Source organism: Homo sapiens, chromosome 7 (assembly GCF_000001405.40).
Source record: "Homo sapiens chromosome 7, GRCh38.p14 Primary Assembly".
Classification (NCBI taxonomy): Eukaryota; Metazoa; Chordata; class Mammalia; order Primates; family Hominidae; genus Homo; species Homo sapiens.
The window spans coordinates 136,650,306-136,667,251 of NC_000007.14; the positions used below are offsets into that span (position 1 = coordinate 136,650,306).

The 16,946-nt window shown below is 34.8% G+C and overlaps 1 annotated feature.

Annotated features, from left to right (window-relative positions):
- Window positions 14,304-14,504: a silencer, noted in NCBI's record as "peak6764 fragment used in MPRA reporter construct". NCBI's record gives its function as "represses an SCP1 promoter by STARR-seq MPRAs in K562 erythroleukemia cells {active_cell/tissue: K562}" and the evidence as "EXISTENCE:reporter gene assay evidence [ECO:0000049][PMID:32103011]".

Genomic DNA, 16,946 nt, shown 5'->3' on the forward strand with positions numbered 1-16,946 from the left:
CCTACTACATACCTAGGTTAGATGATAGAGCCTAATGCTTCTATGCTGCAAACCTGTTTAGCATGTTAGTGTAGGCCACACTGTAGCAACAGTGACATATCTAAGGTACAGTAAATGTAGGCCACACTCTAGCAACAGTGACATATCTAAGGTACAGTAAATGTAGGCAACACTGTAGCAACAGTGACATACCTAAACATATCTAAAGATAGGAAAGGTACAGTAAAAATGATGCAGAAAAGATAAAAAATAATATACCTGTACAGGGCATTTACCATGAATGCAGCTTGCAGGACTGTAAGTTGCTCTGGGTGAGTCAGTGAGTGAATGCGAAGGCCTATAATATTATTGTATTCTACTACAAACTTTATAAACACTGTGCACCTAGGCTACACTACATTTATTTGAAAATATTTTTTTCTTCAACAGTAAATTAACCTTTACTTAACATTTTAACTTTATAAACTTTTAAGTTTTTTAACTTTTTGACTCTTTTATAATAACAGCTTAAAACACAAACACATTGTATAGCTATACAAAAATGTTTTGTGCTTTTGTATCTCTATTCTGTAAGCTTTTATATTTTTAGATTTTTTTTACTTTTTAAACTTTTTTTGTTAAAAATTAAGACACAAACACGTTAGCCTAGGTCTACACAGGGTCAGGATCACCAATATCACTGTCTTCCACTTCCACATCCTGTCCCATTGGAGAGTTTTCAGGGGCAAAAACATGCATGGAGCTGTCATTTCCTGCGATAACAATGCCTTCTGGAATATCTCCCAAAGGACGTGCCTGAGGCTGTCTTACAGTTAGCATATATTTGGTATACTCTAAAATGAAATTAAAAAGTATAGTAAATACATAAACCAGTAACATAGTTGTTTATTTTATGTTTATGTTATTACCATTGCTGACCACAATGGACATACAACACTTTATGGTGCTATGGTTTTAAGGAATAGATGAGAGAGTTCTAATGCACTATGCTGGTGGTGAAATATCTTCCCAGGAATGATTGGATGATTGCAGATTACCAAGAAGGCTGGTGAATAGGTAATTATATTGCCTGTGAGGAACAGCAGACTTAGAGTGACCAGGTCACTGGTTATTCTAAAATGCCCTTACACCTCAGTGGTTGTATTCATGAGCTATTATATTTATGGATTTCCCAGACCACTGAAACCCAGAAATAAAAAAGGATCATTTGGAAATTCCAGAATAGTAGATTAGCCTCAGGGTAAAACCAAACAAACAAATTTTATTAGTCTGTTGTCACACTGCTGATAAAGACATACCCGAGACTGGGCAAGAAGAAGGTTTAATTGGACTTAACAGTTCCACGTGTCTGGGGAAGCCTCACAATCATAGTAGAAGGCAAGGAGGAGCAAGTCCCGTCTTATACGGATGACAGCAGGCAAAAAGAGAATGAGGAAGACACAAAAGTGGAAACTCCTGATAAAACCATGAGATCTCGTGAGACTTATTCACTACCATGAGAACAGTATGGGGGAAACTGCCCCTGTGATTCAATTGTCTCCCACAGGGTCCCTCCCACAACACGTGGAAATTATGGGAGTACAATTCAAGATGAGATTTGGGTGAGGACACAGCCAAACCATATTGCAAACAATAAAAAGGGTGCCAGTAGCCAGGGAAAAGAGACCTGTCTCAGCAAAAATACAACAATGGCACTTGCATGCAGGGTCAATACTTACAGCCAGACACTTATTCTATGGCAACTGCTTACAGATCAGGAAGGTATATGGGAACACAGAGAAAGTCATAACCTCTGCAGATATGCAGAACAGATTTAGGGAGATATGGGGAGAAGCTCAGCAAGAAATTTGAGAAGAGCTAGGGCTGGGTTCTTATGCCATACTCTACTTCCCATTCCCCACCGAAAGGCTATAGGAAAGGGTGAAGGGAGACTCATATAAGGCCTTACTGTATATTGGAGCTTCTACAGCTGTTGCTGGCTTTTTCATCTGGACTCACTTGCTGTTCTTTTGTTAGACTGTATAATCAATTTGGACTTTCTGAGTTCCTTAAATTCAGCTCCAGTGAGAGGACAGGGTGGTTGAATGAAATCATTATCACCCCCCTGATGGCTCCTTTTACATTTGACCAGAGGCATTGTTAAGAAATGAGTGTAACCCTAAAACTTGCTACAGCCATGCAATGGAAACAATCCTGCTTTCCAGGAGTAGAAAAATGAATTAGTTTCCATATAAAAGATTTAATGCAGGCAGAGATATTATGCAATGTGATTTCCCAGTTTAACGACCTTATCTGACTGAAACACTTTTAAAAAGTCACTAATATTTGGCACTTCACTGTGGACTGCCAAAACTAAACAGAGAAGTGCCCTCTGTTCCATATTGGCATATATCATAAAGGTGACTTAACAAGTGTGTCTGTTACAGGCATTTGGTATACAGCCTTGCATCAGCTTTCTCCTCAACCCCCACAATCCTTCACAAAGAGGATTAAGATAAGTTTGCCATTCCCTACTAAGGAACCCAGTGCAAAATCAAGGTCCTGAATCCTCAGCCAGCGATGTATCATCAGTGGTTAGGAAAACCCTAGCATAATATGAATTACTCATTGGAATCCAAACATGTTATTAAAAACATTATTGGTTTAAAAATTTTAACTATACACACAATGGAAAGATTGAATATTGAACCATCATATATACATCCTATAATATCAACATGCACATTTTTAATATTAACATTTATCAACATTCTGACATTTTTGTTTCATTTACACTTCCCATATTTTTTTTCCCCTGGCAGTATCTTGAAAGAATTTCAGATGAATATTCATGGTATTTTTAGAGTGGCTCCACTAAGGAAATAGCTTGCATTGCTTTGCATGTCATCTACAGGCAGTCAGCTAAAGATGGAGTAATATGAGGATAAAAATCCAAAACCTTCTTAACACTATACGGGCAGCAGCCCAAAGTGACTTTCTCCAGCTTATTTTGGTGAACTGTGGGACTCGGAGCCACCACCTAAAACAAAAGTGGGTAAATACCTGCTTGGGATCCATAGGTATTGGAGGCACCATATTCCAGGTTTAAGGGTTTTATGATAGTCACGTCACCAGACAAGTCACTTAAGTTCAAATGGGACTCAAAACAGAAACTCTTGAAAAGCTTTCAGGCATCAGTAAAACAAGACATGCCCTATACATTTGGAGTCAATGTTATAATTGCTGTCTGTGAATAGTTTTAAAGACGACTGTGCTCTTGCCAGTGAGATTCTGCCAATACCACATGCCCGTGAATTTTTGAATTGGAGGATTTCCACCCACTGATGACCAGTACACAGCCTTTGGACGATGGTGCTAACCTCTCCTGAAGTCATATACTAGTCTCACCAACGGAAAAGTCATGATTTCCTGACTTAAAATCCTCATCCGTAAGTGGGTCATCTCTGAACCAAAGTCCCATATGTTGAATTATGAGTTCCTAAAATGCTCAATTTAAAAATGATTTTCTACTAGGATCAAAGCCTGGCCTTATGTTAATTTTATAATTCTCTTACATTACAATAATGTGAAGACTTTCCTATTCTCACAGCTACAGGGATGAGATCCTGAATGTGACTGTGGTCATGGATGAGCAAAATCCTAGATTTTTATACAAAATTATCCAGAGTTGGATTCTAACTGCTCTTCCCAGTCTTATTTCTTGACTGCTATGGACTGAATTGTGTCCCCCAAAATTTATATGTTGAAGCCCTGAGCCCTAATTTTATGGTATTTGAAGACAGGGATTTTTTGAGATAATTAGGCTTATATGAGGTCATGAGGATGAGCCCCTTATAATGGGATTAGTATCCTTTTGTTCTCACTTATACATGAAAGCTAAATGATGAGAACTCATGGACCCATAGAGGGGAACAATACATACTGGGGCCTATCAGAGCATAGAGGCTGGGAGGAGAAAGAGGATCAGGAATAATAACTAATGGGCACTAGGCTTAATATATGGGCGATGAAATAATCTGTACAACGAACCTCCGTTTCACAAGTTTACCTATGTAACAAACCTGCACTTGTACCCCTGAATGTAAAATAAAAGTTAAAAAAAAAAGAGACCCTAGATAACTTGCCCTTCCTCTCTGCCACCTGAGGACATAGCAATAAGGAAGCTGTCTGCAAGCCAGGAAAAGATCCCTCACCATAACCTGACCATGCTGGTATCCTGATCTCGGACTTTAAGCCTCCAGAACCATGAGAAAATAAATGTCTGTTGTTTAACCCACCCAATCTATGATATTTTGTTTTGGCAGCCAGAGATGACTAATATCCTTGGCTTTTCTTCTCACATCATGCCTGAGAGCTCTTATGAGCTCCCTCTACATTCGAATACCTCTCTTACTCCATTTCTGCACATTCACATTTTAATGATTTTTTTAAACCCAGTGCAAATGTTACCTTATACTCTCTTCTCTGACCTCTTAAAGCACTTCGTATTTTCTTGTGACACATTTTTATTGTATTAAAGTTACTTATATTTATGACAAGCTTTCCATAATTATGCATCAGGAATTGCACTGCATGAGGTTAGGCTCTGAAGAAGAAACATCAAGTCAAAGTACCTGTCCCAAGGAGACCACGGCTTAGAAGAGAGGGTGGACAATTAACTAGGCTTAGTTATAGGGTATGGCTGGGGCTCTACTGGAGGAGATGCATCAAGGGTGGTAGGGGAGAGCAGAAGAGGGGTGGGTCCCACTATTGTCCATATTATTAAACGCCTTAGGAAGAAGTGATGCCCAAACACAAAGTGTAAGCATGTGTGGGAGTTTCAAGATAGCTGAGAGAGAAAGGTATGCCAGGTAGAATGTATCACATTTCCCCTCTCTGTTAGGAAACTGCAGGTGCCTTCAAGGCAGGAATGGTGCTGATCATTAACAGACTCAAAGTACTTTTATGCCTGGTATAAAGGACAGATTAAATCAATATGTAATGTCTGAAGGAGATTTTTAGAATAAGTATGGCCAGAATAGCATGTGGAATTTGGGTAACTGAAGGGCAATGGAATAAGAAGAGAGTAACATTCAATACTTTACACTGTTACTTAAGACTAGCCCTGTCATTATGAAAATTGGGGCATGGAGGAGGTTGCTTTTATTCAAGTCTGAATAGAAACACAGGAATACAGCATATTTTTTGTCTTTGCATTTAGAGTCTCTGAAAACTTAATACTGTTTCTACTATCATTAAGAACCCCATCCTGTTATGCAAAGAGGATACTACTGATGGATGACCTATAGTTTGCACAGGATGATAATGAGGTTTCTGAGCCACCCACAGTTCCTCATTTCCTCTGTTCAGTCAAAAGGTACACATTTGTAAGGCCATCACCCAGGGCCAAGAGTATGAGCTATCATGGAAAGAACTTTCACCTCATTAGCTGCAAATTCTAACCAGCTAAACTAATCAGCTTAGAAGAAAACTATCTTAATAGTTTATAAATCATCATTTAAAAAAAAAAAAAGAAAAAGTGGAACATAAGAATTTGGAGTTAGACTGCTTGAGTCCAGGTTTTAGCTCTGTTTCCTTTATATACTAGACGAATCCATTCATTCCTTCATACCCAAGTTTCCAGAAAGAGTTGTTTGCATTTGCAGTCTTCACTTTGTCACCTGTGGTTCACACAGAAATCCATCTGGTTGGCCATGGCATCATCATTCATACCTCCTCACTGGAAGGGCTATCACCAGAGTCTCCACTGTGTCCTTTATGTAGAGTAACTTACTTTTACTGTAATACCTGATCCCTTTGACCACTCCACCCTACTTAAAACTGTTCAGATTTGTTTTCTTGCTTGTTTTGCCTTTTTCACAGATTTCCCTCCCCCTCAGACTCCTTTGCATGTGCTTGCCCAGAGTATTGCCTTCAGTTATTTTTGGTTTTCGTTTTAATACTCTGTCTGATTAATTTAATCCTGTCTCCTTGGTTATGTAAATAGTGATGGATCCAAAATGTAATTTTAGTCTGGGCTTCTAGATTCATGTATTCAAATCCATTTGAATGTCCATCCCATTGAACACACATTTGAAGTTGAACTCCATCAACATTTCATGCTTAGTATCCACTTAATTGGTCAAGTCTGAAAACTAAGTTGTCCAGTGTTTTGTATTCACCTTAATATCTTCATCCCCTTTTTCTTCTTAGTGTATCCACTGCCCTTAATGGAGGCCTTGAATTGTTTCACTCTCCTACCTAATCTACACACCTCCAGGTCTGTCCCTTTGCTAAACTATTTTCACAAATGCTGCCAGGGATTTTTTTTTTCGTAAAAACAAATATAATAATATTTTCCTAGTAAAATGTCTCCATGGTTTCCCTTTGCCTTCAGGCTGCTATCTAACCTCCTCAGTGTAATATATAAAGATCTCTCATAATTTGGCTGCTCACATCTGTAGTTTCATTTGTTATCATTCTACTGTTGGATCCTGTATTCCAGCTATCCTGCATCAATGGTGAATTCTTAGTCCCATGATCATGTAGAAATCTGTTTGTTATGAAATACTGATGTTACTGCCTGGAATACCCTGTGCAATTCTTTACTTAATTAAGCCTCATTGGTCAGTAAAATTTAATTAACTTTTAGTAGTCCTTCCCAACACACACTGCTAAACTGCATCAGAGGCCTGCATTTTATATATTTTCATAACATTCTAGGCTTACGTTCTGGCTAACAACAATATTGTATTTGGAGAAGTTAGCTTCTCTCTCCACTGTACTGTGTCTCCTTGCTATTGGCACTGTGCATTAGTTTTCTTTCTCTTCTATCACACAACATTGTATCTGGCACAAAATAGGTATTCACAAAACGTCTTCCAAATAAACAGATCTGAGGTATATAGGTAGCTCTACCCTGTGTTAAAACTATATGAAATAACTACCTATATTACAGGTTCACCATTTATCAGGAATTATAACAATATCTACCTCACAGGGTTGTGATGATTAAAGGAAATGTTGCACATGAACAGATTTTGAAACTATGAAGTACTTTGTAAAAAATTTCAAACCAGAGCTCAATCCTCAGTTATTGTCCTCAGTCAATACAAGTGTGTTTACATTTCTCAAATGTTTGGATTTTATAAAATTTGCATACCATTCCAAGACAGACCCAGCCATCAGTTTTATATTCTGAAAACATGAATAAAAACAGAAGGCACTTAGCTGAGCCATTACGTTTGAGAATAGAAATGCAAGCAAAAGCATGATATATTAATCTGCTGATTTTAATGCCCAAGTAGGGATGTTATCTTAAACATATAAATACACGATTTAGATGTCTTCCTCTTGCATGTAAGTAGTAAAAATCACAACCCTGAAGAACAATTTTAGACAGCTTCTACTGATAAATTCACCTGTCTGTTTTTCATCAGACCACATAGCTCTAAGGAGGAAAATAAGGCCAATACACTGTATTTGAAAGCTTTCTCTACAGGATGACTCAGTCTTCTGATTATTGTTCATTCTATTTCTTTTGCTTATGGAGCCACTAGGAGGTCAATTTAAAGTTTTCAGGAAGTCAGTGTGCTCATCTCTTGATTTATTGCTTAAATAAATAGCAAAAGAGTTAAATGGTCATCCTGTCAGTGGTGCTACATTCAGAAAATGACCAAGCAGAAAACATTGTCACCCTTAGCACTGTATTGTTATAGAGATGGTATCTTCAAGGGAAAATATACTTCCTTTATTGATTAAAGTATGTTTCTGTAGCCTCAAAGTCAGGGAGTTACAGTTGGGAATATTAGATTCTTCACTCCTTCCCATGTGAAAGGGGATTTGTTAAGGCCCATCTGATCGCAGAAGATTTAAAGTCTCATTTCTAAGGGTCGGTCAACTCTGTGGTCCCTGCAGTATTCAGGAAATAATAGACTTTGACCTACAGTACCGTTTTTTTTTTCCTGGAGAAATATTAATTTTTTTACAGCAACAAATTTAATGACAAGGCCTATTTTGGAGCATGAAAAGTTAGATTTTATGAAAGGTTATAAGAGTGTGTCATGTGATTCATCTATCTGTTTATCTATGTATCTATTTGTCACTTAAAATATAGAACAGAAGAAATTATTGCCCCATCTTCCCCAACCTGAAGCACTATTGATTATTATAGTGCTCATTCGATATGCTAGAAAGGATTATTGACCAAATTCTTCCTGTCTCAATTCTTTTCCTTTTGTTGATTTCTCCTTATTCACAGCTTTAAGTGACATATGTAATACAAACATGCTACTATATCATTATTATTTCATTTTTATCTTTGAAGTTCCCAACTATTTTTAAAAAATTATTTCAAAAGGAAAGTTTACAATGATATCTGTGGTAGGAAAACTATTATCAGGTATCATATATAGAAGGTTACTGTGTAAACAAAGCATAATAAAAATATTTAATTCCAGGAGCAGGACCCAATGCTTGCTTTCCCCCTGATAAAAAGGAATACTAGCTGCTAAGCACACCAAACATAATTTTTGTCTTCATTTAATCAGAAATATTGAACTTAGTGTATGAGAAAGCTTTTGTACCCTGTGGTACCATGCTATTTAATGCTGTGTTCATTTATTGCTTAAAATTATTCAAGCATGACTGAGATGATTACACATTGCTTCAGCAAGAAATACTGTTGTTAACTGTTGTTACTGGAGTAACCAGAATCATGAATGAAACTATCTGTTATGGTTCATCTGGTACAAACCTACCTTTACCAAGACTGTAAGAGAAACTTTAGGATGGCTAATAGCAAATTCATATAGATAAATATTTATCATTCTCTCTCAACTGCCCCCTTCAAAGACTAAAGATTGTGACAGATGTTCAGACAACTTATGCCCATTAAGAAACTCCAATATTTTAGTTTTCTTCTGCTGATGCTTATATTCTGCTTGGAAATTTATTGATGTATAATATACACTTAGAAAAATATACAGACATTTTCTGTATAAAAATATACAGACATTACACTCCAAGCATCCACATAATTGGTGCTCAAATCAAGAAACAGTGTATTACCAACATTTCAGAATACCCTCTTATACTTCCTGTCACTACCTACCACCCTGACTTCTAATACTATGGAGGGGTTTTGACTTTTAAAAATAGTAACTTACCCACTCACTACATACATATATTTAAGTCAGCTTTATTGACTTATAATAATAAAATCAATTGTAATATGTTTTAGTGAGAATAACATTACTCTTTATTGAATACTAATACTGAGTATTCTTGTATATTTATTGAATATACTAGTATTTATTGAGTAATATTACTATTGGAGAATAATAATACTCTTTACTAAGTATAATGTTGAGTAATATACTTTACATCAAATAAAAGTCATTAACTTCAAGTGTAGATTCTCATAAATTTGTCAAAAATATGCATTTGTGCAATGACCATCTCAATCAACATATGGAACATTTCTGTTACTCCACAATATTATCTTGTCAACATTTACAATCGACTTCTCCCGCTACCACAAGCACAACCATTATTCTCTATTCCATCAGTGTAACTTAGCCAATTTTAGCATTTATATAAATTGAACCATGCATAAAAGTTTGTAGTCTTTTGTGTCAGCTGCTGCTGCTGCTGCTTCTATTATTATTATTATTATTATTATTTTTTTGTGAGACAGAATCTCGCCCTGTCACCCAAGCTGGAGTGCAATGGCGTGATCTCAGCTCACTGCAACCTCCGCCTCCTGGGTTCAAGCAATTCTCCTGCCTCAGCCTCCTGAGTAGCTGGGATTACAGGCACCCGCCACCATGCCTGGTTAATTTTTATTTTTTTTGTATTTTTAGTAGAGATGGGGTTTCACTATGTTGGCCAGGCTGGTCTCAAACTCCTGACCTCATGATCTGCCCACCTTGGCCTCCCAAAGTGCTGGGATTACAGGTGTGAGGCACTGTGTCCAGCTGTCAGCTTCTTTCACTTAGCATGACATTGGTGAGATTATATATGTTAGTGCATATGTCATTTCTTTGTTTTTTTTTTTAATTGTTGAGTAATATTCCATTGAATAGCAATACTACTATCTGCTTGTACATTCATTATTTAATGGACATTTAGCATTTTTGGCTTCTTGCTAAAAATATTTATGCACACGTTTTTATGTGGTCATATGTTTTTATTTCTCTAGCCATTTTTTTCTTTGGCATTTTTATTTAGTCTGATAATGTTGACTTTTAATTGGAGTTCTTAGAGTATTAACATAATTATTTATATAATTCTATTTAAAATGATTACCTACTATTTGTTTCTATTGGTTCAATCTATTTTTTGTTCTCCATCACCCACCTAACCCCCTGCTTTTGGGACCTCTTTGTACAGTACTATTTCTTATAACTACATTTTTCTTTATTATTCATATATGTTCCTCTTTTTTTTTCTTTTTTTTTTCAGTGGTTGCTTTACAAACATTTTCTGTAACTGTAAAATATAGGTATTTTCAGCTTTGTGGGCTACATCATTTCTTTTACAACCAGTAAGCTTTGCCTTTGTAGAACAAAAGCAGCTATAAACACATAAACAAATAGGTATGACCAAATTAGGGCCACAAGATTTGGCCAGATTTCGCTGTGGGATGTAGTTTGCTAATCCTTGCTCTAGAGTATAAAATATAAATTTTTAACTTATTGTAGTCTACATTCAAATATTATAGCACTTCCCACATAGTGTAAAAAATGTACACATTGTATAATAAATTTACTTCTCCATCCTCTCTTCAATGTTGTAATATACACTGTTTTTATTTGTTACAAATGCCATGTACATTAGTGTGTGTCATTAAAATGTGATCTGTTAAAGAGATTACATAATAAGAAAAATATTAAATATTAATGCACATATTTATAATTTTGGTTGTTCATCTGCTGCTGTCATTTTTAATGTAGATCGAAATTTGTTTCTGATGTCATTTTCTTTCTGGCTAAAGGATTTTTTTTTTTTAGTATCTCTTGTAATAACCTGCTAGTGTTAATTCTCATAGGATTTGTTTGTTGGAATATCTGTTTTTCACCTTAACTTTGAATAGATATTTTCATGAGATAGAAAATTCTAGGTTAACAATATTTTCATTTCAGTAAACTGAGAATACTGCTCTGTTGTCTTCTAGCCTTCATTATTTCTGAGAATTTTGCTGTGATTTTTATCTGCACATGTCTTTTCTCTTCAGATATTTCAATACTTTTCTCTGTCACTAGATTCAGACATTTGGTTAGGTTTTGCCTTCTTTTGTGTAAAAAAATAGTTTATTTTCTTACAGCCTATTGAGCTTTTGGATATCTGAGTTTAAAATTTTCATCAATTTTGGAAAATGCTGGCAGTTATATTTTAAAAGCATTTTAATACCCTCATCCTTTTTTTCATGGTACTCCAATTACATATATGTTGGTCTTTTGATATTATCCCATGGATCACTTGGGCTATGATTTTTTTTTCTTTCTTTGTTATTTTTGTTATGCTTCATCTAGGATATTTCTATGTTTTCATGTGCAATGACCTGTTCTGCTGTGGTATATAATCTGCTGTTAATTTCATTCCATGTATTTTTTATATATGTTTATTTCTAGAAGTTCAATTTGTGTTTTTTGGTCTTCATTTTTCTTTTTATTTCATTTGTGCTTTCCTTCAAATGCTTTAACATATGTATAGTTCTTCCTCTTCTAAATTTCTTGTGTCTTTTGTTATTTAGTCTGTTTCTGTTGATAGATTTTTCTTTAGATATGGTTAATTTTATCCAGCTTATTTGAATATCTGGTAGTTTTTGATTGGGTGTTGGATATTATAAGTTTTACATTTTTGAAAATTAAATATTTCTACAGTTTTCAGAATTTATTCTTGTGCACAATTAGTTTATTTTATATCAGGTACATCTTTTCATTTTGCTTTTAAGGTTTATTATGGTGGGTCTAAAAGAAACCTTTATTCTAAGGCTAATTTAGTCTCGCTACTAACCCAATGTTCTCTTAGGCAATCTATAAAAGCCCCATTCGTACTAATTCTCCTCTCTTTTGTGAACACAAATTATCCCCAAATCTGTCTGAGTTCTGGGAGTAGTTTGCCTATTGGTTTCTAGTGTTTCTTTTGCTGATGTTGGGGAGTTTTATCCAAGGCAGAAAGCTAGATCAACTGCAGGACTTACCTGGGACATTCTCCTTCTCTCTTAGATCATAATTTTTTTCTACCTCTTGAACAAAGTCTACAAATAATTGCTTCATATATCTGTACAGTTTTATAGTTTGTCATCAAAAGGTGGTCATTGGTGTTACCAGAAGCCCCATTAAACTATTGTGATGAGTGGTTGCAAATTTACACATTTACATGGTGAAAGTAATGTTGGTTTTGTCTGGTGATATACAGAGAACAAATTAGCCCAGAGTCGGTTGTTTTATCATAGCCAGATATAGGCAAGCTCCATGTATCTCCTTTTTAACGCTTGAGTGACTTCTCTCTAGGTATGCATTTAAAAAGGAGGTTGTGGAGGACTCTGAGTATATAAAAGGATGACATAAACTTCTAGATTTCATAATACCTTCCAAAAATATTTCCTCCAATGTTTAGTAACTAAGGATTTTTATCTACTTACTATATTGCGGCATCATCAATCCCCTTCTGACTGTATTAGTCTAGATGTTGTGAACTTTTCCACATCAACTCGTGTGAGCTTCGTAAGTATTCTTGTTGAATTGTGTTGTCCTTATTTACTTATTTCCTCTTCCTATTATAACCTCACAATCATTCTGGTTTTAGCCCCAAAATATTAGGCCTAATGGCAGTCTGTTTTCTGAAGAATTTGATGGGCTGTTTCTCTAGTCCAAAATGGCTATTATCTATGGGCACTTTAACTAAGGCATTAACTATAGCTACCTGGAACTAACAGTTTGCAGAGGTGTTTTCGGTATATTCTACAGTGCTAAACAAAGTCAAAGTTAATATCACCATGAAAATTTGTTGCAGTAATATTACTAGCAACATCAATGGCCACGTTTGGATAAGCATATTTTTCTATGATACATTGGAAATGGCCAAACATGTAACTAACAATATTATTTTCTTGAAGGTGTTGATAATTTATAAGATTACAGAATAATGAACTCGTAATTTTATTGGAAAGTCTGCATACTTTTAACCTTTCAAATATAATAAAATTTCAGCATGAGTAAGCAGTTATTTTTCAGTTAAATGATTATTCAATTCCCAAAGCTACAGTGTGCTATAGTAGGCATTACTGAGCAAATAAATCCATTTGTCTCCATAGTCTCTTTCAAAAATTGATTACAGGTTTTCACAAAGTTTCTAGCCAAAATATGGTTGTTTCAAATTTTCTCTTGCCTAAATTTAAGCAAATTTCCTCTTAGTGGTTTCTCAGTAGATATGGAGAAAAAGAAGTCATGGTTTTTTACATAAGAGAGTTAATACGTTTATTATTTCAATTTGCATAAAAGTATGCATACAATAATTTCCTTGGGATAAAAGAACTTAGTAAAATATTCTGAGGCATTCAAATTTTTAGTTATCGATATTATAAATAATTTAAAATAGCTCTTATAAAACAAAAATGCCATCTGAAAAGGAATATTTTAAACTGATCGAAAGATCATCAACTCAAACCTTGTCAAATGAGGTCATACATGGAAAATGCCAAATTCCAGTAAAATATTTCACTTGCCAAGAGGAAAACTCTCCAAGACAAAAGAAGAAAAATAAGATAGGCAGATTGATGAATATTTAGCATTCTTTTTGGTTTGTTTGTTTGTTTGTTTTGAGACAGGGTCTCTCTCACTCTGTCACCCAGGCTGGAGCGCAGTGGCACGATTATAGCTCACTGCAGCTTCATTCTCCCAAGCTCAAGTGATCCTCCCACCTCAGCCTCCCAAGTAGCTAGGACTACAGGCACAGACCACCATACCCAGTTGATTTTTTGTATTTTTTGTAGAGACAAGGTTTTGCCATGTTGCCCAGGTGGGTCTCAAATTCCTGAACTCAAGTGATCCACCTGCCTCAGTCTCCCAAAGTGCTGGGATTACAGAAGTGAGCCACTGTGCCCGGCCTGAATATTAAACATTCTTTAATAAAGCTTACTGTCCTGAGAGTTCATACATATACACACCATACTTACCGAAGGGCACAAAATCAGACACATGCCTTCACTCAAACAGCTTCCTACACTTATGCATAAAGAAAGTTACATCCAGTACTTTTTCTGGGGGCTAAATAAGTCAGTTTCTAACCTCTCCCTAAAGGTACTTTTTGTTCCTTTAAGGCAGGGATTATATAGAAAACTATCAGAAAAAAAGTCTAATTTTTACTCTACACAGTTTATGAAAGTCATGATTTTACCAAAATGACACCACACTTAGCTGTCAGCTTCTTTTCTTCCCTATCTCATAATCTATGCTTTGTCATTTATATTCTTATTATATATGTTATCTGCTTCCTCTACTTCCTCCTTTTTGCTGACATACCTACATGCTCTTATATAGATGTGTGAGTGTTGACCATTGTATTACTAGAGTGAAGTAAAATAAAGTAAATGTTTTTTTTTTTTATCTTTTTTGCTATGTTGCAAACCACGTGCAGACATTTCTTAAAGCAGAGTTTATTTGAAATTATCTGTAAATATTCTGTTAATATATACAGGTTCTGTGGCTACCTCTGAGAGGGATTCTTAAAAATTTTCTCATCTAATACATATTCATTACATAGAATTTTGAAAGTATAAAATTGTTTAAAGACTAAGCATAATCTATACTATCATGTAATAATGAATCTGTTAGTATTCAGATTCTCATAAGCTTTCTTTTTTATTTTATCTTAATCTGCCTATTCACAAAGATACACATATTTTAAAATTTGAATTATTTTAGATACAATTTGGTATTATTCTACTATAATAAATATTGTGCCAATTTTCTCACATTAAAATTTAATTGCATTTGTTTCAATTTACCAGCGTTTTAATATAAGTATTTGAGCATAGAACACAAAACTAATTTTGGTGGGCAATAGAGTTACTGCTTATTGTAAAATATTTTTTAAATGCACTAAAAAAGGAGATTTCAATTTCCAGCAACATGGCTTATTAGATGTTCTGAAAACGCTCTTGTCATGTCATAAAACATCAGAAATGCCTAATTAAATGCTGTAAAATACACTTTTAAATGTATTGCTGGCCTGGCAAAAAAGATGGTCAATCTTTAAAGACCACGAGTAAAGTCCAGGCTGGTAAGTGAAGAGAAAAGTCGGGGCAGTATGGAATCATTTGCCACTGTCTCATAGTTGAAAATCTTAGGTTTTAATGGACCACAGGATATTTTAAAAACCTTCATTTATGTAGTAATAGGAAACCACGAGTAAAATTCTAAGCCCAAGAATGCTGTTCCTCAGTTAGATACTACATCCATTCCCATTATACATCTCTGGGTAGATTTAAAAAGGACATTAAAAAAGTCAAAAACCAAGAATACAAAACCAAGCAAGCAAACAAAATTTTTTCCTGATAATTTACAAGCAATAGTTGTTCTATATATTTTGAAGTTTGAAGGCCCAAACTGTTATAATTGTAAGCCCCCTCCCCCTGAAATAAATTCATTTTTAACAGGCAGTGGGTTTATAAAATCTCTGAGCACTGGCCAGAAACACATAAATCCTCACTCATGAAGCCAGAATACTGTGTGAGAGTGTTGTCAAAATGTTGAGAAAACAGAAGTGACTAGCTAGATTGTATATCTGGTGAAAGTACCTGTTAAAAAGAAAGAGGAAATAAAGATATTGTCAGATAAAATGGTACTTACTAACTACATGACTTTGGGCAAACTACTTCATCTTTCTAAACTTCAGTTTCAGCATCGGTGAAAACGAGCTAAGGATAGTGCCTCTCTCACAGGGTTCTGCTAAAGATTAATTGAGTCAACACATATGTAGCATCTGGAAGAGTTCATGGTAAGCAATAAAATGTTATCTGGTAATATTACAGTAAACATGCACTGCAACATTATTTCCCCGCCAATTGGCAGAGTTTCCTACTTCTTCTCTCCTTTCTTACACGGTTCATCTTTGTTTACATTTTTGGCCAGGATGATTACCTGAAGGATAACTTACACGTAATAAAATGTACCTGTTTTCAGTGCTCACCTGATGAATTTTGGTAATTGTTAGCAGTCATGTAGCTATTACCACACTAAAGATTAAAAAATAAGTCCCTTGTCCCCAAAAATCATCTTCATGTCCCTTTGTCATCAATATCCAAAATATAGAAGGAATTCATACAACTCAATAGTAAAAAACAAACAGCGAAACCAAATAACTCAATTTAAAAATGGGCAAAAGACCTGAATAGAAATTTTTCTAAACTGCCCAATAGGTAAATAAAAAGGTGTTCAACACCAATAATCATCAGGGAAATGCAGCTATAGTTTAAAAATAATGTATCACAGAAATTTCTTCAGAGAGTAATATATCTTAGTATTCTCACCACACAACAAAAACAAAAAGGTAACTGTGAGATAATGGATATGTTTATTAGCTTGATTGTGGTAATTTTTTCACAATGTGTAGATATATGAAACATCATGTTCTACACCTTAAATATATACAGTTTTTATTTGTCAATTTTACCTTAATGAAACTGAGGAATAAAAAACCTTTCCCCAATTGAATTACCCTGGTAACTTTGTTGAAAATAAATTAAACATACAGATGTGCATCTGTTATAGACTACATGTCATACACACACATATATATACAATTTCCATGCCAACATTATATATATAATATTATATGTTATATGACACATATGTAATGAATATATGATATATAATTTTATGTTATATGATACATAGTATGACATGTAACTTAATATGTTATATGATACATATATAATAAATATATGATATATATTTTCA